At 34.4% G+C, this 25,114-nt stretch overlaps 2 long non-coding RNA genes across 2 annotated transcripts in view, besides 4 other annotated features; one reads left to right on the top strand and one right to left on the bottom strand.

Annotated features, from left to right (window-relative positions):
- The first annotated feature begins 434 nt into the window (after nucleotides 1–434).
- Nucleotides 435–23,817, top strand: LINC02671 (long intergenic non-protein coding RNA 2671). The gene is made up of 2 exons (NR_134456.1): nucleotides 435–716; nucleotides 21,528–23,817. It is a non-coding gene; the product is annotated as a long intergenic non-protein coding RNA 2671 (long non-coding RNA).
- Nucleotides 4,233–4,402: an enhancer, noted in NCBI's record as "experimental_14489 CRE fragment used in MPRA reporter constructs". NCBI's record gives its function as "activates a minimal promoter by MPRAs in K562 erythroleukemia cells, with activity observed for both the introgressed and non-introgressed 10:66680394 variant alleles {active_cell/tissue: K562}" and the evidence as "EXISTENCE:reporter gene assay evidence [ECO:0000049][PMID:34662402]".
- Nucleotides 15,895–16,095: a silencer, noted in NCBI's record as "peak978 fragment used in MPRA reporter construct". NCBI's record gives its function as "represses an SCP1 promoter by STARR-seq MPRAs in K562 erythroleukemia cells {active_cell/tissue: K562}" and the evidence as "EXISTENCE:reporter gene assay evidence [ECO:0000049][PMID:32103011]".
- Nucleotides 18,129–18,298: an enhancer, noted in NCBI's record as "experimental_14444 CRE fragment used in MPRA reporter constructs". NCBI's record gives its function as "activates a minimal promoter by MPRAs in K562 erythroleukemia cells, with activity observed for both the introgressed and non-introgressed 10:66666498 variant alleles {active_cell/tissue: K562}" and the evidence as "EXISTENCE:reporter gene assay evidence [ECO:0000049][PMID:34662402]".
- Nucleotides 20,619–20,788: an enhancer, noted in NCBI's record as "experimental_14431 CRE fragment used in MPRA reporter constructs". NCBI's record gives its function as "activates a minimal promoter by MPRAs in K562 erythroleukemia cells, with activity observed for the non-introgressed 10:66664008 variant allele {active_cell/tissue: K562}" and the evidence as "EXISTENCE:reporter gene assay evidence [ECO:0000049][PMID:34662402]".
- Nucleotides 21,714–25,114, bottom strand: part of LOC105378336 (uncharacterized) — an 88,286-nt gene continuing 84,885 nt past the window's right edge. The window contains exon 4 of the long non-coding RNA XR_946020.2: nucleotides 21,714–21,797. This is a non-coding gene — a long non-coding RNA (uncharacterized LOC105378336). The remainder of the gene's footprint in view (nucleotides 21,798–25,114) is intronic.

The following is a 25,114-nucleotide window of genomic DNA, read 5'->3' as shown; positions in this document are numbered from 1 at the left end:
GCTCAGGGATCAGGGGTCAGGGACCCACTTGAGGAGGCAGTCTGCCTGTTCTCAGATCTCCAGCTGGGTACTGGGAGAACCACTGCTCTCTTCAAAGCTGTCAGACAGGGACATTTAAGTCTGCAGAGGTTACTACTGTCTTTTTGTTTGTCTGTGCCCTGCGCCCAGAGGTGGAGCCTACAGAGGCAGGCAGGCCTCCTTGAGCTGTGGTGGGCTCCACCCAGTTCGAGCTTCTCGGCTGCTTTGTTTACCTAAGCAAGCCTGGGCAATGGTGGGCGCCCCTCCCCCAGCTTCGCTGCCGCCTTGCAGTTTGATCTCAGACTGCTGTGCTAGCAATCAGCGAGACTCCGTGCAGGTAGGACCCTCTGAGCCAGGTGCGGGATATAATCTTGTTGTGCGCAGTTTTTTAAGCCCGTCGGAAAAGCGCAGTATTCGGGTGGGAGTGACCAGGTGCCGTCCATCACCCCTTTCTTTGATTAGGACAGGGAACTCCCTGACCCCTTGCGCTTCCCAAGTGAGGCAATGCCTCGCCCTGCTTCGGGTCGTGCACGGTGCGCGCACCCACTGACCTGCACCCACTGTCTGGCACTCCCTAGTGAGATGAACCCGGTACCTCAGATGGAAATGCAGAAATCACCCGTCTTCTGCGTCGCTCAGGCTCGAAAGCACTGTATTTTATGGCGAAATGTTGAAAGCTATGCTTGAAATGGAAATAGGTAAGAATGGCCATTACTCCCATTTCTGTTCTATGTTGTATGGGATGTTAAGCCGATGTAGTAAGGAAAGAAAAATAAACAAAAGGAAAGGAAATATTTGTAATAGTCAAAATAAAATTGCCATGGTATTTTCTTTTAAAAATACATTGTAATATAAAGCAAAGACCCAAAGCCATGTAAAACAAACACACCGCTTAGTAAACTATTATATAACTTGATATATTCTAAAATTAAATAGAGGAGTCTTTAGGGTTTTCTATGTATAAGATAATGTCACCAGCAGAGACAATTTACTTCCTTTCCTATTTAAATGCCTTTTATTTCTTCTCTTGCTTAATTGCTCTGGCTAGGACCTCCGGTATTACGTTGAACAAAACTGGCGAGAATGAGCAACTTTGTTTTGTTCCTGATCTTAGAGGAAAAGCCTTCACCTTTTCTTCCTTGAGCATAATGTTATCTGTGGACTTGCCATATATAGCTTTTATTGTGTTGAGAAACAGTTCTTCTATATCTAATTTGTTGAGAGTTTTTATAATGAAAGGATTTTATTTTTTTCAAATGCCACTTATTCATCTATTGAGATGATTATATGTTTTTTTTCCCATTTCCATTCTGTTAATGTAGTGTACCACATTTATTGATTTGTGTATGTGGCAATATCCTTGCATTGAGTGGGGACAAATCCCACTTGATCATGGTGAATGATCCTTTTATGTATGATTATATATGGTTTGCCAGTATTTTATTGAATATTTTTGCATCTGTGGTCATCAAAGACATTGGCCTGTGATTTTCTTTTCTTGTGTCTTTGTCTGACTTTGGTATCGGAGTAATGCTGGTCTCATAAAATGAGTTTGGAAGTAATTCTTCCTCTTCAATTTTTTAAAAGAGTTTGAGAAAAATTAGTGCAAATTCTTTAAATGTTTAGTGGAATTTGGCTGTGAAGACATCTGGTCCTGGGCTTTTCTTTGGTGGTAGACTTTTTATTACTAAGTCAATCTCCTAACTTACTGGTCTGTTGGGATTTTAAATTTTCTCATGATTTAGTCTTGGTAGGTTGTATGTGTGTATGAATTTATCAGTTTCATCCTAGTCACCCAATTTGTTGGCATATAATTGTTTATAGTAGTCTCTCGGGATCCTCTGTACTTCTGTGTCAGTTGTCAACATCTCTTCTTTAATTTCTGATTTTATTTCAGTCTTCTCTCTGTTTTCTTAGTTTGTTTTCTAGCTAAGAATTTGTTCATTTTCTTTATCTCATAAAAACCGCTTAATTTCATTTATTATTTAAATCAAATTTCTTTACATTTTTTTTGAGATAGGGTCTCACTCTGTCATCCAGGCTGTGTTGCAGTGCTTTGATCGTAGCTCACTGCAGCCCTGACTTCCTAGCCTCATGTGAACCTCCCACCTCAGCCTCCTGAGTAGCTGGGACCACAGGCATGTGCCACCATGTTTAGCTGACTTTTAAAATATTTTAAAAAGGTTTTGTGGGTTCAGAGTTGTTGTACATATTTATGGGGTACATTAGATGTGTTAATACAGCATGCAATGTTAAATAAGCACATCAGGAAAAATGGGGTATTCATTCCCTCAAGCATTTATTCTTTGAGTTATAAACAATCCAATTACACTCTTTTAGTTATTAAAAAATGTACAACTAAGTTATTACTGACTATAGGCATCCTGTTGTGCTATCAAATAGTAGGTCTTATTCATTCTTTCTATTTTTTGTGCCTATTAACCATTCCCACCGCACCCCACCAACCCACCCCCAGCTACACTTCCAAACCTCTGATAACCATCCTGCTACTCTCCGTGTCCATGAGTTCAATTGTTTTGGTTTTCAGATCCCACAAATAAGTGAGAATATGTGATTTTGTCTTTCTGTGCCTGGCTTGTTTCACTTAACATGAGCTCCAGTTTCATCCATGATTTTGAAAATGACAGGAATTACAAGTTACAAGGGTGTTCATCTTATAATAATTTTAATAATGTAATCTTATAATATTGATCATCAGAGAAATGAAAATCAAAACTACAATGAGATATCTCATTGCATTTCTCTGATGATCAATATTATAAAATTACTTTATTACAATTAAATAATAATTTAATAAGGTTAAATTATTATAAATGTGGTACATATACACAATAGAGTACTATGCAGTCAAGAAAATAAAAATAAAAATAACTCTTTTTTATTGGCTGAATAGTACTCCACTGTGTATACATACGACATTTTCTTTATCCATTTATCTGTTGGTAGAAACTTTGGTTCCTTCTAAATCTTAGACATTTTAGGATTTTTTTTCTATTCCTGTGAAGAATGTCCCTGATATTTTGATAAAGATTGCATTAAATATGTAGATTGCTTTGTGTAGTATGGACATTTTAACAATATTCAGTCTTCTAAACCATGAACATGTCAATTTTTTTTCCATTTTTGTGACCTCTTCAATTTCTGTCATGAGTATTTTACAGTTTCTGTTACAGAGATCATTCCCTTCTTTGGTAAAGTTAATTCCTAGGTATTTAATTTTACTTATTGCTACTGTAAATGGGATTACTTTTACATTTATTTTTGACATTGTTCACTGTTAGTGTATAGAAGTGATACTAATTTTGTATGTTGATTTTGTATTCTGCAACTTCACTGACTTTGTTTATCGGTTCTAATAGTGTTGTTGTGGAGTGTTTAAGTTTTTCAAAATATAAGATCATATCATGTGAAAAGAAGGATAATCTGACTTCTTCCTTTCCAATTTGGATGCCCTTTACATCTTTCTCTTTTCTGATTGTTCTAGCTAGGAATTCCCCTACTCTTTTGAATAACAGGGGTGACAGTGGGCATCCTTGTTGTATTCCAGATCTTAGAAGAAAGGCTTTCAGTTTTTCCCCATTCAGTATCATTCTAGCTGCAGGTCTATCATATATGGCTTTTATTATGTTGAGGTATATTCCTTCTATAACCAATTTTTGTAGGGTTTCATTATGAAGAGATGTTGAATTTGATCAAATGCTTTTTCAGCATCGGTTGAAATGATCAAGTGTTTTTTGTCCTTCATTCTGTTGATATGACATAGCACATTGATTAATTTGCATATGGTTAACTATCCTTGCATCTTAGGGGTAATCCTCCATCCCAGGCATCTTCCAAAGGATGATCTTTATACTGCATTGTTGAATTCTATTTGATAGTAGTTTGTTAAAGATTTTTACATTGATATTCATCAGAGATACCAACCTATAGTTTTTTTTTAATGTGTCCTTGTCTGGTTTTGGTATCAGAGTAATACTGGCCTGGAAGTATTCCCTACTCCTCCAGTTTTTGAAATAGTTTGAGCAGGATTAATATTAGTTCTTCTTTAAATGTTTGGTAGGATTCAGCAGTGAAGCCATCATTTCCTGGACTTTAGTTTGCTGGGAGACGTTTTATTAGAGCTTCGACCTTGTTACTTGTTATTGGTCTGTTCAGGTTTTGGATTTTTCCTGGTTCAGTCTTGGTAGGTTTTATGTGTCTAGAAATCTGTCTGTTTCTTTTAGGTTTCCAAATGTATTGGCATATAGTTACTCATGGTAGCCACTAATGATCCTTCGCATTTCTGCATTATCAGTTGTAATGTCTCCTTTTTCATTTTTTATTTTATTCATTTGGATATTCTCTTTTTTCTTAGTTTTGTTTCATTGATATTTTTATTGTTTTCTTCATTTCAATGTCATTTATTTCTGCTCTGATCTTTACTATTTCTTCTACTTTTGGGTTTAGTTTGCTTTTGTTTTTCAAGTTCTTTAAGATGCATCATTAGATTATTTATGTGAAGTTTTTCCTCTCTTTTGATTTTGTACTTATAACTATAAACTTCTCCCTTAGTACCTCTTTTGCTATATCCCATAGGTTTTGGTATGTTGTCTTTCCATTATCATTTGTTTCAAGAAATTTTGTGATTTTCTTCCTAATTTTTTTATTGACTCACTGGTTATTCAGGAGCATATTGTTTAATTTCTATTTATTTTTATAGTTTCCACAATTATTCTTGTAAAATATCTTTTACCATCCCTTTATTTTCTGTTTATATGTGTTTTTGTATGTGAAGTGTGTTTCTTGTAGGCAACAGATCAATGGGTTTTGTTTTTTAATTCATTCACCCATTCTATGTCTTTTGATTGGAGAGTTTAGTCAACTTACATTCTATTATTCATAAGTAAGGACTTACTCCTTTTTAAGATTACTTTATTTGTTTACTGGGTTTTTTTTTGTGGCTCTCTCTTCCTTCTTTCCTTCCTCTCTTCCTTGAGTGAAGGTGATTTTCTCTGGTGATATAATTTAGCTTATTAATTTTTGTTTTTTTGTGTATCCACTGTATGTTTTTTGGTTTGAGGTTACCATGAGGCTTACAAATATTATCTTCTAACAAATTATTTTAACCTAATAACAACTTAACACTGTCTGCATAAACAAACAAGCAAAAATAAAACTAATAAAAACTCTATGCTTTAACTTCATGCCCCCACTTCTAAACTTTTTGTTGTTTCTATTTATATGTTATTGTATTGTCTATGTCTTGAAAAGTTGTGGTTATCCTTTTTGATTGGTTCATCATTTAGTCTTTCTACTTAGGATAAGAGTAGTTTACACACCAACGTTACAGTGTTATAATATTCTTTGTTTCTCTGTATACTTACTATTCCCAGTTAGTTTTGTATCTTCAGGGGATTACTCATTGCTCGTTAATTTTTTCTTTCTGATTGAAGTACTCTCTTTAGTATTACTTTTAGGACAGGTCTGATGTTGATGAAGTCCTTCCACTTTTGTTTGTCTTGAAAAGTATTTGTTTCTCCTTCATGTTTAAGGATATTTTCACCAGATATTCCATTCTATGGTAAAAGCCTTTTTCCTTCAGCACTTTAAATATGTCATGCCATACTCTCCTAGCCTGTAAGGTTTCCACTGAAAAGTCTGCTGCCAGATGTATTGGAGCTCCATTGTTGTTGTTGTTGTTTTTCCTGCTACTTTTAGGATCTTCTTTCTATATCCTTGATCTTTGGAAGTTTGATTATTAAATGCCTCGAAGTAGTCTTCTTTTGGTTAAATCTTCTTGTGTTCTGTAACTTTGTTGTACTTGAATATTGATATCTTTCTCTAGGCTTGGGAAGCTCTCTAACTTTTCTCCCCTCTCTCTTTCTCTACCTCCTCTTTAAGACCACTAACTCTTAGATTTGCCCCTTTCAGGATATTTTCTGGATCATACACGTGTGCTTTACTGCTTTTTATTCTTCTTTCTTTTGTTTCCTCTGACTGTGTATTTTCAAATAGCCTGTCTTCAAGCTCATCAATTCTTTCTTCTGCTTGATCAATTCTGCTGTTAAAGAACTCAGATACATTCTTCAGTATGCCAATTGCATTTTTCAGCTCCAGAATTTCTGCTTTTTTTAAAATCATTTCAATCTCTTTGTTAAATTTATCTGATAGAATTCTGAATTTCTTCTCTATGTTATCTCAAATTTCTTTGAGTTTCCTCAAAACAGCTATTTTGAATTCCCTGTCTGAAAGGTCACATATTTCTGTTTCTCCAGGATTGGTCCCTGGTGCCTTATCTAGTTGATTTGGTGAGGTTATGTTTTCCTGGGTGGTGCTGATGCTAGCAGATTTTCTTTGGTGTCTAGGCACTGAAGAGTTTATTATTTATTATAGTCTTCACTGTCTGAGCCTGTTTGTATCCATCCTTCTTGGGTAGGCTTTCCAGACATTTGAAAGGACTTAAGTGTCATGATCTAAGCTATATCTGCTTTAAGGCACACCCCAAGCCCAGTAACACTGTGGTTCTTAAAGAATCCTAGAGGTACCACCTTGATGGTCTTGGACAAGATCCGATAGAATTCTCTGGCTTACCAGGCAGAGATTCTTGTTATCTTCCCTTACTTTCTCCCAAACAAACAGAGTCTCTCTCTCTCAGTTCTGAGCCACCTAAAGTGTTAGGTCCTCCAGGCCCTGGGTGGGTCTAGATGTGCCATTCAGGAGCCAGGGACTAGTTTCAAAAGCATTAGAAGTCTACCTGGGGTTCCATTGCCCTGCAACTGAGTGCCAGCCCAAAAGACACAGTCCTTCTGACTTTTCTCTCACCTTTCCAAAGGCAGAGGCCTCACTTTGCAGCCACCACCTCCCCAGGCCATGAGGAGTACTGCCAGACTACCATCAGTGTTCCCTTAAGGTCCAGTGACTCTTAAGTCAGTTTGTGGTGAATGCTGACTGGCTTGGCACTCACCCTTCAGGGCAGTGGGCTCCTCTGTGGTCCAGGGCAGGTCCAGAAATGCCATCCAAGGGTGAAGTCCTAGAATATGGGACCACAAGAACCCACATGGTGCTCTACCTCCACCTCCCATGGCCTCGCTTGTACCTAAGGTGCAAGACAAAGTCCCCTTTATGTTTCCCTCTGCTTTTCTCAAGCAGAAGGAGTTCTGCACCCTAGTTACCACATCTGGCAATGTGCAGAGTCTCACCTGAAGGCAGCAATTCTCAGAGGTTCACCCAAGGTACTTAACATAGTGCCTGGGTATCATTACTTGTTACTCAGGGCCCAATGGCTCTTTAGTTAGCAAGTGTTCAATGCTGCCAGGACTGGGTTCTTTCCTTTAAGGAAGTGGGTTGCCTTCTAGCCCACAGTCTGTTTAGAAATGTCATCCAGAAGCTATGGACTGGAATGATGGCCTCATGATGCTGACTGGTGCCCTATCCTGCTGTGGCTGAGCTGGTATCTGTGATGCAAGACAAGCTCCCTCTGACCCTTCTGTATCTTGTCGTCAAGGGGAAGGCAGGGATCTCTTTTGGAGTCATAAGCTGGGCAGCCTGGGGTTAGGGTAGGGGTTACACCAGTAATACCACAGCCATCCCAGCTGATGTCTCAGTAGGTCACATGCCTCTCTAATCCACTGTCTCTGGGCCTACTTAAGCACTAGGACTGGCCCAGGGGTTGCATTCCTTATGGCCTAGATTGACTTTCAAGTTTACTTGGAGACACTATAAACCTTGGTGGCAAGGTTTGCAGAACTCAAGTTCTGACTGCTGGGATTGGTGGCTCCCCTCTGGCTAGGGCTGGTTTAAATGTTCCTTCTGTGAGTGGGTGTCAGCAGAGTTTGGTACAAGTTTTTTTTTTTTTCTGCTCTAACACGACAGCGCTGAGTTCAGTGCCTCACAATTTCTTTGTTCTCCCTCCTCCAGAGCACAGAGATGCTCTCCACACCAGGCCACTTCTGCTCAGGGTGGAAGAGGGGTGGTGTTGGCAATTCAGTATTCTATCTCCTCAGTGCCTCTTTCAGTTATATGAAGTTAAAACCAGTTACTACAAGTGCTCAATAGATTTTTGGTTCTTATGAAGTTGTTTTTTCTATGTAGATAGTTGTTAAATTGGTGTCCTGTCCTTGCAGTGTGGGGAATAATTGGTGGAGCCCTCTATTCCACCATCTTTCTCTGCCTCCCCAGCTAATTTTTTACTTTTTATTATTATTATTTTTTTTATAGAGATGGGGTCCTTCTGTGTTGCCCAGGCTGGTCTTGAACTCCTAGGCTCGAGGGATCCTACTGCCTCAGCCTCACAAAGTGCTGGGATTACGGCATAAGCCACCATACAGCAGCTTTAAATTATTTTTCTAGTCTCTATTTTATTGATTTCTTCTCTGATTTTTTGTTGTTTTCATCCCACTGCTAACTAACTATGGGTTTAGATTTTTCTTTTTCTAGTTCCTTGAGGTGTAACATTCGTGGTTTATGATCTTTCTTCTTTTGAGAGGTAGTTATTTAATGCTATAAAATTTCCTCTTTACTGTTTTTACTGTGTCTCTTAAATTTTGGTAATTTATGTTTCCATTTGTATCAAACTCAAGATACATACACACATACACAAAAACATACACATACATATATATACATTTAAATTTCCCTTTTAATTGTTTAATGTCCACATATTTATCAATGTTTTATAATTCTTCTTGATATTGATTTCTAGTTTTATACCATTGTTGTCAAAAAATGATACTTGATATGATTTTAATTTTCTTAACTGTGTTAAGATTAGATTTATTAGAATTGACACATTAATTTAATAAAATTGCAGACCACAAGATCAACATGCAAAAATCAGTAGCATTTCTATATACAACAATGAACTATATAAAACAGAAATACAGAAAATAATATCATTTACGATAGCATCAAAAAATACTTACAAGTAAATTTACCAAGGACCTAAAAATTCTGTATGCTGAAAACTATAAAATATTGATGAAACAAATTAAAAATGGCACAAATAAATAAAAACACATTTTGTATTCATGAGTTGAAAAAAATACTGCCAAAATGTTGATACTGCCCAAAATAATGCAATTCCCATCAAAATTTCAATGTCATTCCCCACAGAAATAGAAAAAACAATACTAAAATTTGTATAGACTCTCAAAAGACTCTGAACTGCCAAAGCAGTCTTGACCAAAAAGAACAAAAAGCTGGAGGCATCACACAATGTGACTTCAAACTATCCTACAAAGCTATACTAATCAAAGCAGCATGGTACTGGCATAGAAACAGAAATGTTGTTCAATGGAATAGGATAGTGAGCTCAGAATAAGCCCATATATTTACAATCAACTGATTTTTGACAAAGTTGCCAACATCCCCACAATGGGGAAAGCACATTCCTTCAATAAATGGTATTGGGACAACTGGAAATCCACATATAGAAAAATGACATTGGACCTTCATCTTACCCTGTGATATTGTTTGGCTGTGTTCCCACCCAAATCTCATCTTGAATTGTAGCTCCCATAATCCCCACATGTCATGAAAAGGACCTGGTGGGAGGTAATTTAATCATGCAGGCAGGTCTTTCCCATGCTGTTCTCATGATAGTGAATAAGTCTCATGAGATCTGATGGTTTTATAAAGAGGAGTTCCCCTGTACATGCTCTCTTGCCTGTCGTCATGTAAGACGTGACTTTGTTCCTCATTCACCTTCAGCCATGATTGTGAGGCCTCCCAAGCCATGTGGAACTGTGAGTCTGTTACACCTCTTTCCTTTATAAATTACCCAGTCTCAGATATGTCTTTATTAGCAGTGTGAGAAGAGACAAATACACCCTATATACAAGAATCAACTCAAAATGGATTAAAAACTTTAACATAAGCCTTAAAACAGTGAAACTACTGGAAGACAATATAAGAGAGAAGCTCTATGACATTGGTCTAGGCAATAATTTCCCCAATATGACTCTAGCCACATAGGTCATAAAAGCAAAAATGGACAATTGCGATTACATAAAGTTAAAAAACTTCTGCATAACAAAGAAAACAATTAACAGAGTGAACAGACAACTCATAGATTTGAAAAAACATTTACAAACCATATATCTTGTCAGGCGTTAATATCCAAAATACCTAAAGAACTCAAACAACTCAATTACAAGAAAACAAATAACCTTATTCAGAGAGGGCAAAGGACATGAATACTTAAAAGAAAACACACAAATAGACAACACATAAATGGAAAAAGTATTCAACATCACTAATAATTTAAAAATACAAATTAAAACCACAATGAGCTATCACCTCATACTTTTTAGAATAGCTATGATCAAAAAGATGATAAATAATGTATAGGCTAGAATGTAGAGAACAGAAAACCCTTATATGTTGTTGGTGAGAATGTAATGTAAACAGCCATTTTGGAAAACAGTATAGAGGTTACTAAAAAAACTAAATACATATTTACCACATAACCCAACATTCCTACTTTTGAGTAGCCAACAGAAATTTAGTCTGTATGTTAAAGAGATTTCTGCACTCTTGTGTTAATTGCAGCATTATTCATAGTAGTCAAGATATAGAGATAGCCTAAGGGCCCATCGACAGATGAATGAATTTCTAAAAATGTGGTATTCCCACAATGCTATACTTTTAGCATTAAAAAAGAAGAAAATTCTGTCATTTTCTACAACATAGATGAATCTAGAAAACATTATGCTAAGTGAAATAACCCACACACAGAAAGACAAATATTGCATGATCTCACTTATATGTGGAATCTAACAAAGTAGAACTCATAGAAGTAGAGAGTAAAATATTCATTGCAGAAGGCTAATGAGGGACAGCAATATGCAGAAAAAGGTGTTATTAGTCAAAAGGGTACAATGTTTCAGTTAGGAGGAATATATTCTAGTGATCTATTGCACAGCATAGTGACTGTAGTTAATAATAATAATGTATTGTATACTTCAAAATTGCTATAAGAGTAGATTTCAAGTATTTTCACACAGAAAGAAACGATAACTCTGTTAAGGTGCTGGATATGTTAGCCTGATTCACCATTCCAGAATGTACACATGTATCATAACAATACATCTTAGACTATAATATATATGATTATAATTTATAAATTAAAAACAAAACTGTAAAATCAAATTAAATTAAATGGATAGGCAAAGGAATAAGAATAGCAAACATTTTTAAAACTCTATTAAAGATAAAAGAAGTGCAAGGTAGAAATTTTGTCCATACAGACATCTGAACTTCTTATAAATCTAAACTTTGCAAGTATTGTGGTAATAATGAAGTAATACACAAATAGGAAGACAAAATCATTTAGAGATTTAAGGAAAAAATTCATGTAGACATGAATAGCAGATATTTCAAAAATGTCAGATATATGTAAAAAATTGGAAGGATATGAGAATATTTTCAATAAATGGTGCCAAGATAAATTTTCCCCTATATGAAAAACATGAATTTTAGTCTGTACCTCACACCATAATATAACAAACCCAATTTTCAGTGAATATTAGATGTATTACGATAGATAAAACAATACATTTCCAGGAAAGAATTATAGAAATATCATCAAGACCTTGGGAAGGTAAATATCTCTTATTTAGAATACAAAAGACACTGTCAACAAAGATATGGTTTATAAATTTAATTCTATCAAAATAGGAACTCTATTTCCTCAAACAATACCTTAAAAAAGTGAATGAGGGAAGGTACTTATAACTCATAAAACTGTTGAATGTCCTGAATCCAGAATATATAGAGAATAACTTACTTAGAATAAACAAGAAATGAAAAGATAGGGAAAAGACTTAATCGTACACATCACAAAATCAATAATAATAGTACAAAAAAGTTCTGAGTTTCATTTGTAATCATAACAATAAGAAAAAAATTAAAATTACAGTTGTTGCTACATATCTACCAGTGAAACTGCTTGGGTATTACAATAGTGTATTTTTCAGCCTTGGACTTGGGAGTAGATACATGCAAACCTTATAAAAACACTGGAAAAACACCTAGTTGTTATAATGTATTTGTTAAATTGTAATGCATGTCTTATGTAGCTTCATGAATGTATGCTATATTTTAGAATTTAAAACAGCTTAATTTTGTTTAATCAAAAAAATCCGGCCGGGCGCGGTGGCTCACGCCTGTAGTCCCAGCACTTTGGGAGGCCGAGGCGGGCGGATCACGAGGTCAGGAGATCGAGACCATCCCGGCTAAAACGGTGAAACCCCGTCTCTACTAAAAATACAAAAAATTAGCCGGGCGTGGTGGTGGGCGCCTGTAGTCCCAGCTACTTGGGAGGCTGAGGCAGGAGAATGGCGTGAACCCGGGAGGCGGAGCTTGCAGTGAGCCGAGATCCCGCCACTGCACTCCAGCCTGGGCAACAGAGCAAGACTCCGTCTCAAAAAAAAAAAAAAAAAAAAATCCAAAATACATATTATTTTCTGATGGATAAAAATAAAAAATAAGCCTTCAAAATTGGACTTCTAGGAGGATTTAAGTTAAATTCTGAATTACTTTTCTGTTGAATTTGAATGTTTATTTTGTTGACCATGTATCATGTTTATAAAGGTAAATATAATTATAAAAAGTGTAATGTTTACTGATTATCTTGTCAGTAATCTAATTAATGGGAGAGAAATTACACAAAGATTGTAATGGGTTCTATATTTGATAGTATACAAGTATGATATTCAGTTAATGGGTACAATTGTTAAAATTTTTCTCCTTTTGAATTAATTATGTAGTTTGATTTTTCCTTTTATAAAAATTAAAATATAAATATTTATTAGAACCATATAAACTTGCCTGTTATTCCCTTGTTTCTGACATGGAAAAACAGGAAATTCACATTTGAGGTGACTATGTATATTACAGAATTTTTTTAAAGATGGAAAGCAAACATTACTCTAGAACCTAGTTAGCCACACACACACATACACAAATACACACAAACATACATAGAGTCAATCCTCATTATTTGAAGATTTCATATTTGTGAATTTGCCTACTCTTCTAAAATTAATTTGTAACCTAAAAATCTATACTTGTGGCACTTTTGCAGTTATTTGCAGACATGTGCAGAGTGGTGAAAATTTTAGATCACTGTCAACACGCATTCCCAGCTGAGGTAATAGGAGACACTCTGCCTTCTTGTTTTATCTCCCATATGATAAACAAGTATCGTAAACCTCATGGTTTATTTTGTGCCATGTTTTTGCATCTTCGTTCTTTTTGTTGGTGATTTTGCTGTTTAAAATGTCTCCCAAAAGCAGTACTGAAGTGCTGTCCAACATTTCCAAGTGCAAAAAGGCTGTGATGCCCCTTACAGAGAAAAGATCCAGGAATTTAGACTACTTTTCTACCCATGTAAAATCTTTTTAATTCTCGTTAAAGTTTTATACATATTTTTCTGAATACCAGAAAAATTATGCAGGTATCAACATTTAAAAGTAAAATACAGTATCTTTTCTTTAAATTGAAAAAAATTTGAATGTTGTAATTAAAATAGCTCTATAAGTATTATTAAAGAGACAAACATCTAAACATAGCTTGATGATAGTTTTGAAGGAAAGACAGTCTTCTATTAGCAACTATAGATATTTGGGTTAAGTCATCTTCATTTTTTCTTCGATAAATGAGTCTTTTTGTCAGTTTCAAATTGTAAATATGGTTTAATATATTCATGAATAAATTCAGACTCTGTTAAACTTATAAATAAAAGCAACTTATGTGTGTACAGTTAGTCTCAATGGGATAAATTGTAGTGCACGTAAAATTGATGATTTTTACGTGTTATAATACAGCGAAATACTACGTATGTTAAAATTTTGTTTTTCAATACTTTAGACATTTTATATGTAATTTTGTTGTATTCCATTTATAATCAAAACAAGTAATTTATTTAACTCATGCTACTTGTAAGTTTAGTATATATTTATCTGATCAGAAACATTATGAATATACTATTTTGATAGAAATACTAAGCCCATTTTATTAGTTCTGTTATGAAAAATTATGGCTTCAAATGCAAGTATATGTATTATTTAATTGTAAGTGACTAAGATATAAGATGTTTAAAAATTTCGTTACTTATATTCTAATTTTGTAAGGAAAACTTTGCCATAATTGACAGCTTGCAAGCAAAACAAAGAAGATAAAACTAATGGGATGTTTCTTGGGCAAAAAATTAGAGAATATTTTGAATAGTTATTGAAAAATAAATTACTGCCTCATTGCCATCAAAAATAAATTGAAAAAAATCTGTATTAAGTTTTCTAAAATCAGACCTGGTCTAGTTTGTGATCTTCCAAAAGAAGACCCTGAGGCAAAGATACAAATAGTCCTAGTTAATATAGGAAGTTCAATTAGGGGAACAGGGAAATGGTACCTGGAAATGAAGACAGCCAGGGATGAAATATTAACCCCCATATTACCACATACCATGAAACTGCATACAAGGCAATCACCAATTCTCTGGAGTCATTTGCTGAGGGCTGCTACCAGGAGGTGTTAATTTACCATAAGAACAGACTAACACAGTTCTTCAGCAGCTAAATTCCAGGAAAAGACCCTCTGCTCCAGAGAGGTAGGTGCTGGAAGTCCTCAGAAGCCATTCAAAATGGTTAGGATCAGCCTGAGCACAGAGTCTGCTATAAATATTACCCAATATTATTTTAGCAAAAGATGCGAACTTGAATTAGACACAATTTTGTAAAGCCCAGTAAAATTTGTAGGAATAAAAAAATCACGGTAATGAAATAGTAGTATATCATGCACTTGATTTTTATAACAGGTTTTTAAAATAATAAAAATCATGCATGCACAAAGCCAAGAAAAATACAAAAATTCAAAGAGCTTTAGAAGAGAATATAAAATAGGAAAATTTCTCGCGTTTATCTTTATTCTTTCTTTCCAGATATAACAAGTTTTGTTTACTACTTAATGTTTAAATGCTTGAAATAAAAACATTACAAAATATCTGCCAAAATATTTTAGCTTTTGCTCCCTATTGTTTGGTTCTGAAACTTTACAAAGTTGAGTCTCTGGGAGTTCTTGTTCTTTATCATGTGGGTTGATACTTTCAATCAAAGGATTACTATCTTTAGCTTTGTGAATTTTTCTTGTATTTTTTTCTTTGTCAACTCCATTTGATCTGTTCTATTTTTTTATGAAAATTTGGCATACAAATATAATGCTTTCTAGATTTATATTACATTTAATTTTCAGTAAATAATCAACTGGTTTCCTATATACACTTAGATCTGTGTTCAATGTTCACCCCTCTCATTTCACATTCCAAGTTTAATATAGTTTTGTTCATTTATCCAGTAGATTTTTTATATCAATAGTCACAGCCTAATTTTCCAAAAACTCTTCCTTCTTTCATTTTGTTCATCTTTATATTAACCTCTGCATGCTGTGTATAAAATACTCTCTCAATCCTCTAGGAATACTAACATAACTTTTAAGTTATTTTCTAGTCCTCTAATAATGTCAATTTCCTTAAAGTCAGTTCTCTTTGGTCATCTGAGTGTTTTTGTTCATTTTGTTTTTCTTTAAACTATCTGTTGCTTGTGTTACTTTCTGTTTTTCTATTCAAATTTATGAAAGCAAGGTTCCCTTATTTAGTATAGATGTCTGGTGCAACTTACCTCTCTAGTTGTGTTAAGTATATTTCCCTAATTGGCTTCTCTGCCAGATGATAGACCAGCTACTCTAGAGAGAGCGTGGATTTGACATGAGGAAGCAAACTCCCCCAAACTACTGTGACAAAGATAAATCTAGGGGAGAACATTAGCTTATTTCACTTTGGGGGAAAAATTGATTCTCTCTCTCCTTCCTCCTTCTCTACACTTCCCTCAGTTCCTGAGACCCTAAGATTCTCTGTTTCTCTACACAGGAACTAATACTCTTCCTTACACTTCTTCTTAGGCAGAGTGAAATTTCTTCCACAAAAAAAGTCCCAGATTTCACCTAAGAGCAGAGGCTATCACTCCCAGCTGTAAGTTCTGTGGAGGAAAAGCATAGGCTGGCATCTGCAGCAATTTACAAATACAGTTCTCCTACCCACACCCTTCCCAGATCTTAGTGTAATTTATGCTAGGTTTGGAGCTCTCTGATGACTCTTTTGGGAAACGATGCACTTTGGTTTGTCTTAGATTCGTGTCTTCTCTACTGTTTTTTAATACTACCTGCCTTGTCTTTTCCAAAATCTCAACAGCATTTCTGGTCTACTGATATAACAACTTTAAAAAATTATATACCATAATTATTTTCCATTATTTTTCATATTGACTGTTTTGTAATTAATATAGTTTTTTTAGAGCAGTTTTAGATTTACAAAAAATGGGGTGGAAAAGACAGAGAATCCTCATACACACCCTTCTCCCCTGCACAGAGTTCACAGTTTATTTATTTGTGTGGAACATTTATGACAATTAATGAACCAATATTAAGATATCACTATTAACTACAGTACATAATTTATATTGGGGTTTATTCTTTGTTTATTCTATAGATTTTGGAAAATGCAAAATTACATATATCCATCATAATATGATTTTTTTAAATAGAGCTGCTGTTTTACAAAATGAACAGATGTTTTTTACAGTAAAATTATAAGTAGATGTGTATTTCTCCTTCACTGTTGTTAGCAAAGCTAGGTCTCTCACCTCATCATAAACAAGGTTTTATCAAACTTTAGGAACACAATGCACACACATGCATGCACAGATAAATAAATACAGATTGTTTCTGCTTTATCGTTTTTATTTTTACGAAAGTAGGATTAGATTTGTATGATAATATATATATAATATTCTATCACTTGCTCTTTGTGTGTGTGTTTGTGTGTGTGCACACACATACCTATTGTTGCATGATCACAAAGGTCCACGTAGACAATTAGGTTCACAGAAAACACAAGTTTAGCACCAAATGACTTGTTTTAGCAAAGGGCATAGGAAAAAAATATATACACTACATGAATACTGGCAATGTTCTGAACCTATTAGATGTGTGTCTTTGAGCCCTATTTCCATACCTGGGCAAGTCTGCTTTTCAGAGTGATACGCACTAACTGTGGGTGGGGGATGATTTAGTACATCACTTAATATTGAGGTCTCCCAGCTTGCTGACATCTCTTAGTTTTGCTATTACTGTATTACGTGTTTTCTTTACCCCTATTTATAATGAATACCTTTTATCAACTTAATAATTATTTCATTACATCTCCTATGTTCAATTATGAATGTGGTTTCAGCCTTTTGAACTGGACCCCAATAGATAAGGCCCCAACACCTCCCTAAGGTCTTGAATATCATCAAACTTCCATGGACAGCATGAAAGGTCTCATCTTTCAGTGAACTCTCTCTCTCTTCCTGGCACCTATTTTGCGCTCAAGACTATTTATTCAATTTTTTAAAAAATTGTAACAAGTATATTTTAACTTGTTTTCCAGAAAAGAAGAGATTTTATTATGTTTTATTCACCATCGTTACTAAATACTACATCTTTCTTGTTGTTTTTGTTTGGATGGTGTTAAACTATAACATACTACATCTTAAAAGGTTTATCATGGCCATTTTCTAAATTATGTGCATTTTTTCCTGTTTTATCTTAATTTTGTAAAAATTGAATGTAGAGAAGAATTTTTCATAATTGGTTTTAATAAAAATAAACCCCAATTAAAATATTTATAATTAATAATTGTATTAATATTTATCATAATTTTTATAGTGCTAATGTTACTATAACATTTGAATTCTATATTATCTAAATGGATGTTTTATATAACTGAGTTTATAATAATTTTATTTATACACGATTGTATTGAAATGACAGGTGAAAATTAATTATTCTCCTGATAACATGCTAATATAGTATCATAATTCATATTAATAACTTTTAGCATAAGGCCTTTTAATATGCCTGTTTCTTTTTACTTGCTTTCTTAGCCTTAAAAACCTCAATTACTGTGAAATCATTTTGCTAAATGGTTGTGACATATAAATAAGAAATCATTAGGCTAATTTTATTATCAAATTTCAAAATTTATTCATAATGTTTTTCATTTAAAATATTAATGTTGTTATAGGAATGTGTCTATTGAGACATTGGAAAAATTTAACTTCAGAGTATTTCTATAGAGAAAGAATGAAATTAACCCAACCTTAGATGAAGGATGGAGCCCAAAGAATATTATATACATCCTTGTTGCTGAAAGTTATGACTTCTTATATTTATGTAGCTAAGGAACAATTTATACATATTTTAATCAATAAATACAAATTTATTTTGGAGACTAATGTGGCAAGCCAGGTCTCACTAACAGCTGAACAGACAGGCCTCCATGACAACTGTTTCAGCACTGAGTGGTTAAGTTAAATATTAAAAGCTGATAGAGCCAGAGCCCTCATATAAAGGCTGGAATGTAGAAAAAGTCCACTAAGAGTTTTGCCTGGGCCTTGAAGCATGACAAGATAATGAAGGAATTCTTAACAGGACCCGTTTAGGATTAAACAAGTTTTATTGGGGGTCTGAAGAAACTCCCCAGACCTCCACGAACAAGTTTTATTGGGAGTCTAAAGGAACTCCCCAAACCTCCATGATTTAGAAGAGACAAGATAAGGGTAATCACCCCAGCACCTGGGCCCATCTAGATAAGCAAATTGACTGAGGCTCCGGAGGAAGGCTTTCAGGACTCAGCCTTAGTTATAGATCAGAAGTTAATCACTTCCGTCTTTAGATGAATGCACACTTACACATAGACATATAGCTTAGAAGGTCTATAAGCTCTGGAAAACTTTGTAATTTTGAGTTGATCTAGTGATATTTTCCCAGCCTTCTCTCTGTACCTGGCTACAGAAATAAACTCTCTTCTTTCCCAGGCATCTGCTTCTCATTATTAGGCTGTGAGAACAAGCAGCCTGACCCTCGGTTCTGTCCAGGAACACAAAGACATGGGTTAGTGGAGTATGGATAATAGCCAAGAGCAATAGGACCTCAAAGAATTTCTTTTTTGGACATGTCTAGGTGAAATCTATCTGCCTATTTGATTTCAAGCAACTTTGACATAGTTAGTTTACGGAGATTATGGAGAGATTATGCATTTTCCCAAACCATTCCTTGGTCTAGCTACTTACCAAGAAAGTAGACAGAAACAGAGAGAAATTCAAATGAAATTTTTTCTTCTTGGAATCTGGAAGTATGAAAAAAAAATGTTAAAGCCATGCTCAGCATAAAACCAAAAGCTATTTCTATTGAATGAGTTTCATATTCTTTCAAAGTATAATCTGAAGCTATAATTGTTCAGCAGCTTGTTACATCAATGCATTAAAGAAGCAGTGGTGTGTCGTCATGGATCTCAGAATTCTCCTTTTTATTGAAATATAGGTGACACAAATAATTTAAATTATTAGGGGAAGCCAAACTTTTAGCCATCTCTCAATTTGGTTTTTGGATAAGCAACAGCATATTTGATGATTTAGCCCTATAAAACAAACTTGATTGGATATACTGTACATTGGTTTTACTGCTAAAAATCAGGAAATCAATTTGTAAATTAATTTCAACTGCATATATGTGAAGGGTAACTAAGCACTTAACTTTTTTGATTATAAGAAATGTAACAATATTGGCATATTTGGGCTATATGTGAAATTAGTTTAAGTACTTTTAGGTGAAATCAGCTAAATTATAACTACTGAACTATAGTTGACATTTTAAATTATTATAATTACAAAGTATCCTGAAAATAAAAAGACAATAAATAGAAACACTTTTTTTTTAGGTATGAGTGATTGCATCAGTTTTAACTAACTTCATATTAAACCACAACATTGTGTGGTTCCAGATTTAGAATTTTTAATTATTTTCCCTCACGTCCTCTTTTTCCTAATCATTTTTACAAGTCAACTCAACATACTGTCTTACTTATTTTCAACATTCCCAATTTATTTCTCCATATTACTATAATTTAAACTTTAGAAAGTCAACTAAAACAATCCACCATATATTTTAGCGGAACTCTCACCATTTACTCCAGATAATGAGTAAATCATGAAGTCACATTTTTTTGGAAAGGGTGCATAGAACAGAGAAGATGGGACTAAACATTAATGTCATATTAAATACATAGTAAGTTCCCACATTTTGAATTGAAGCATTAATCCAGCATCTCAAAAAATGTGTAGGTACAATAAAATAATTATAGTTTATCATAAACATATTTAGAACACCAAAGGATTTTTTAAAAAATGAGTTATATTTCAAAAGGTCAATTTTAGATAGGCACTGAATTTACTATTCTTTTTCCTAGAATCTTTCCCATCATCTTTTTCTACAGCTTTCCATCTTTTAAAGTCCTGGATCAGTCTTGCTGGCACTTTTTGTGATCAAGGCTAGAGTCCACTAACCAATGGCAAGACCATGGGTCCTTGTAAGCAAGGTCCTCCTAAGTTAGTACCATTTGTTTATTCAGATGTTTCAAAGTGGAACATTTATCAGATAAATATCTTCCTCTTACAAATACTTTCCTATCATAGCACTAAATTGATATGTTCTTATAGGAGAAAACACTTCTCTAGTTAGGAAGAAGGAATGCAGAGGGTAAGAAAAAAGAAAAAGTGTCCTGCCTGAGGAACGGCAAACAATTTCCTCTATGCCCCAGACTCACTGATAAGAGATATATTTTAAAATGTTCTGAAAGAAAAAAAAATCCTAGTTATAATACATATAAAATGAACACAGCGCTTATAACAAGATTTCTGATGCACAAAAATGAATCTGAGGAAGCCTCTGAAAAAGGCATACAATGTTGAGTCACTAATTTACTAACATGACTACGGTGTTGTAAAAAAAGAATGTACTGCCTGATCTCTCTTAAATGTGGAACTGAAAAAACTCAAACTCATAGAGCAGCGTAGACTGGTAGTTGCCAGAGATTAGGGTGAGAGTGGAATGGGGAGATATTGGTCAAATGGTACAATGTCTCTGTTACACAAGATTAATAAGTTTTGGTATTATTAATACCAAATATTGTATCTATCGTATAGTCCAAAAACTACAATTAATAACAATGCATTGTATACTTGAAATTGCCAAAAAAGTAGATCTTAAATGTTATCACTACAAAAAAAAAAAGTATGTGAGGTGATGGATATATGATTTAGCTTGGTTTAGTCATTCCACAGTGTCTATACATATATATCAAAACATCACATTTTACACCATGAATACATACAATTTCACTCATCAGTTATGCTTTAATAAAGTTCATTTTATAAAAGAAATGCAACTCTTACTTCTCTATAGCTGATTTTATCTCCTTCATAAGCACTACCATGTTTTGGGGAGCAAACAGAATGTCTAAAATTAATAAAATCAAGGCTAAAATTTATTACTGTTCAGAAATCTAAACAGTTCATTCAGGTTTAAATTAGTCCTTTAAATTTTTCTCTTCTCCTTCCTTCCCAATTTTTCACTAGGTGCAGTGGATGAGATACTGTTTGATAACATGAGAAGACCAACAAGATCAGAACAGAAACCCTCAGGCTACAAATACATGGAAATAGCAAATAGTGCCACCACGCCCAGCTAATTTATTTTGTATTTTTCGGGGTCTCACCATCTTGGCCAGGCTGGTCTTGAACTCCTTACCTTGTGAAACACCCACCTTGGCCTCCCAAACTGCTGGGAATACAGGCATGAGCCACCACACCGGGCCAATACATAGTTTTTTATAAAGAGATATTCGCCTGTGAAAGAAATTGAATCCATGGTTGTCAGAAGTGAATAGAAAGTTAAAAACCATTAATAAGTTAATATTTTCATTAATTCAACAAATATGATTGAGTACAATGAGATCCCAGGCACTATTCAGGATTTCCACAGACATGAATGAAACAAAAGTCTTCCTAATGTCAGAGCTAAAGTAATAAACACAGTACTTTTCAATAAAATCACAGGGATTATTGGACAAGGAATGAGTATTCACACCTATATTCTTTTCTTGAAGACAAGAATGTTCAAGCACACTGAAGATGAGGAACTAAAACTAAGACAATGTAAAGAGGTCAAATCGACTTTCTCTATAAGCAAAGCAAAAGCATCATCAGTCTACCATGACTCTCAGTGAATCAAAAGCTATTTATCAGAAAAAAAAGTACATTCGGCCGGGCGTGGTGGCTCACGCCTGTAATCCCAGCACTTTGGGAGGCCGAGGCAGGTGGATCACAAGGTCAGGAGATCAAGACCAACCTGGCTAACACAGTAAAACCCCGTCTCTACTAAAAATACAAAAAATTCCCGGGCGTGGTGGCGGTTGCCTGTAGTCCCAGCTACTTGGGAGGCTGAGGCAGGAGAATGGCATGAACCCGGGAGGCAGAGCTTCCAGTGAGCCGAGATTGTGCTACTACGCCCCAGCCTGGGCGAGACTCCGTCTCAAAAAAAAAAAAAAAAAAAAAAAGCAGAAAAAAGTACATTCATGGCTTGTATCTCAGGTATATGTGGGCTTTGATTTTTTAACCAGTCTGGTAAGTTGATGAAAGAAATCCCTGCTAAATATCAGCTCCCTACAAAAACCAGTGTACTATCTGTTGACAATGCAAAGTTAAGTTCATTAAAAGTACCACAATAAGAAAGAACTCTACTTTGAAAGAGTCTTAAAAAGGGCAAATTATGAATGAATGTTTACATGGTTGTTGAATCTGAGCTTTGGTTGTCTTTTAAGGGGACTGCTTTTTGAGATTGGATAATTTTGTCACATAATCATTTAGGGTTGTTTGACTTCTTTAAGACAGAAACCTTGAAGTAATTCTTGGTAAGAAAATTGTTAGATTAATATTTAATTGCTCGGATAGCAAACAATTTGGTTAGATAAATTGGTTTCATTACTGTCTTAAATATTACAGTGAGGGTTTATAGTCTTATTCTTGTCCTCTTAAGCAAAAATTTCCCAGACCAAAGACTCAGCCCTGATCATTTGTCATCCTGAACTAGAGGATATATAATCGTCATCTGTGGAGATGATCAGTCCAGATCCGAACTGCTGATTGAGGAGTGGCCGTTATGTGTTATGTTTCTAATGGTGATCACTTCAACGTCTAGGAACATCAGGTTTTCTTATCCCTTTTCTGGATGATCAATTGTGGTTTTTAAAATTTTTTTTTATCTTTTTAGTGGGGCAGCAAATGTGCAACAGCATTCAGACTTTGCAGAGCTCATCTCTAAACAAACCAACATGACCAGCGTAAATATCTATATTCAGAGTTCATATCCAATTCTAAGCCAGAATCCAAGTGTGCCTAAATTAAAACAGGAGTTGGATTCAATCTCCAACCTGAAGAGAACAGAAATCTACATATTACATTATTCTATTATGATAGCACATGTTTCACCTGTTGAGTATAACTGTCTGCCCAATCTTATTAAATTTTTATGTGATGTTTTCTAAAGCTTTAGTGATATTTTCTTGATTCCCTGTCAGTTTTTGAACTGGATGGTTTCCCCTGTTTTCCAGGCTTTGTGTAAAGGATAAGGAGGAAGATGCTTGAAGAAAAAGGAAAGCAATTCAAAATTACCTGTGAGTGGTTAAATTTGTCAGATATCAAGTAAACATGAGGACAGGTGATTGATGATAAAAGGAGCTGGATATTGATCAAGAAAAAATGTGACAAATTCCACATTTGATTTAAATGTATAACCACTTTACATTTCCTCACTATCTTTCTTTCATTGTTAATGTCCATAATTCTAAAAAATAAAGTTATATTGTTATGTCTTGATTTTTCTTTTTTGAACATTAGCTGAAGTTATTCAGTCATTTCTTACTATAGAATAAATCAGATCCTATATCCTCTCCACCTTTTGATGGTGGAGTATATTTATGTACAGAAATAAATTATTTTAGATTCTGAATATCTAAAAATGTCTCTCTTATGTTGTCAAACTTTTTTATTTCTTGGATAGATATACAATTCTAGTTGTTAATACTTTTCTTTCACAACTTAAGGGCATAATTCTATTTTCTTTAGATATCTATATTACTCTTGAGAAATCACCTACTGATTTTTTTATACAGAGATTCTGCTTTTGCTGCTGTTTTGGTGGTAGTGGGGTTTTGGCTGTTACCTTCACTTTTACTCTTTACCCTTAGCATTGTGTCTTTATTCTTGACATCAGCATTTGATGTTTATCTTGCTCCTTGATCACTGATTTTGCTCATATTATGTGAGTTCTTTCAGGTTGGAAACTCATGTCATTAACTTTGCACAAAGCATTGTATCATTCTTTGCTAATTATTGCCCATATATTTTCTATCTTACATATTTCTGGAACTACTATGAGCCAGACCTTGGACCAACTAGATGAATCCTGCTATTCTGCCATATTTTTCCTTATATATTAACACTTTACATTTTTACCCAAGATTATAAAAGCTTTTTCAAATTTGTTATTTATGATCTAATGGTTTTAATTTCTAAAAGTTATTTCTTATGCTTAAGATAATCCCATTTCATGAAAATTTGATCTTATTTCATAAATGTCATGTCTATTCTCAACTCTACAGAGGTTCTTATAGGCTTTATTGACATCATCTGTTGTTACCTACATTTTCATAATTTCCTCTAAGTTCATGGTTTTGTTTGTATAGGACTCTGTTTATGATACGGTACTACTCAAACTAAATTTGAGTTTTGGATATAAATTTATATGTATACACAGGGCTTTACAAAGTATGATAAGCTCTATGGATAAAGAAAGACAGAGCCTATATAATAACAAACAGGCATTGTTTCTGAATAAAGAGGCAGGTAATTAGGAGTATGCCTAAATACCAGTGTTGATAGATGCTTTTTCTTGGTTAATATCTTAGAGCTATTGACATTGTTCACTGAAGAATATGTTGGGGGTTTAGTGGTACAAATGGCTTTCTTCTTGTTGACTTTTCCCTCTTCTAATACATTCTACTGGTCCACACATTTTTTCATTTTTCATCTTACAAAATTAGTTGACATTCCTCATCTAGTGTCAGTGCCTTACACATGCACACATTTATGGGTACTTTACAGGA

This window comes from Homo sapiens, chromosome 10, assembly GCF_000001405.40.
Source record: "Homo sapiens chromosome 10, GRCh38.p14 Primary Assembly".
Taxonomy (NCBI): Eukaryota; Metazoa; Chordata; class Mammalia; order Primates; family Hominidae; genus Homo; species Homo sapiens.
This window is presented reverse-complemented; position numbering and strand designations above follow the sequence as displayed.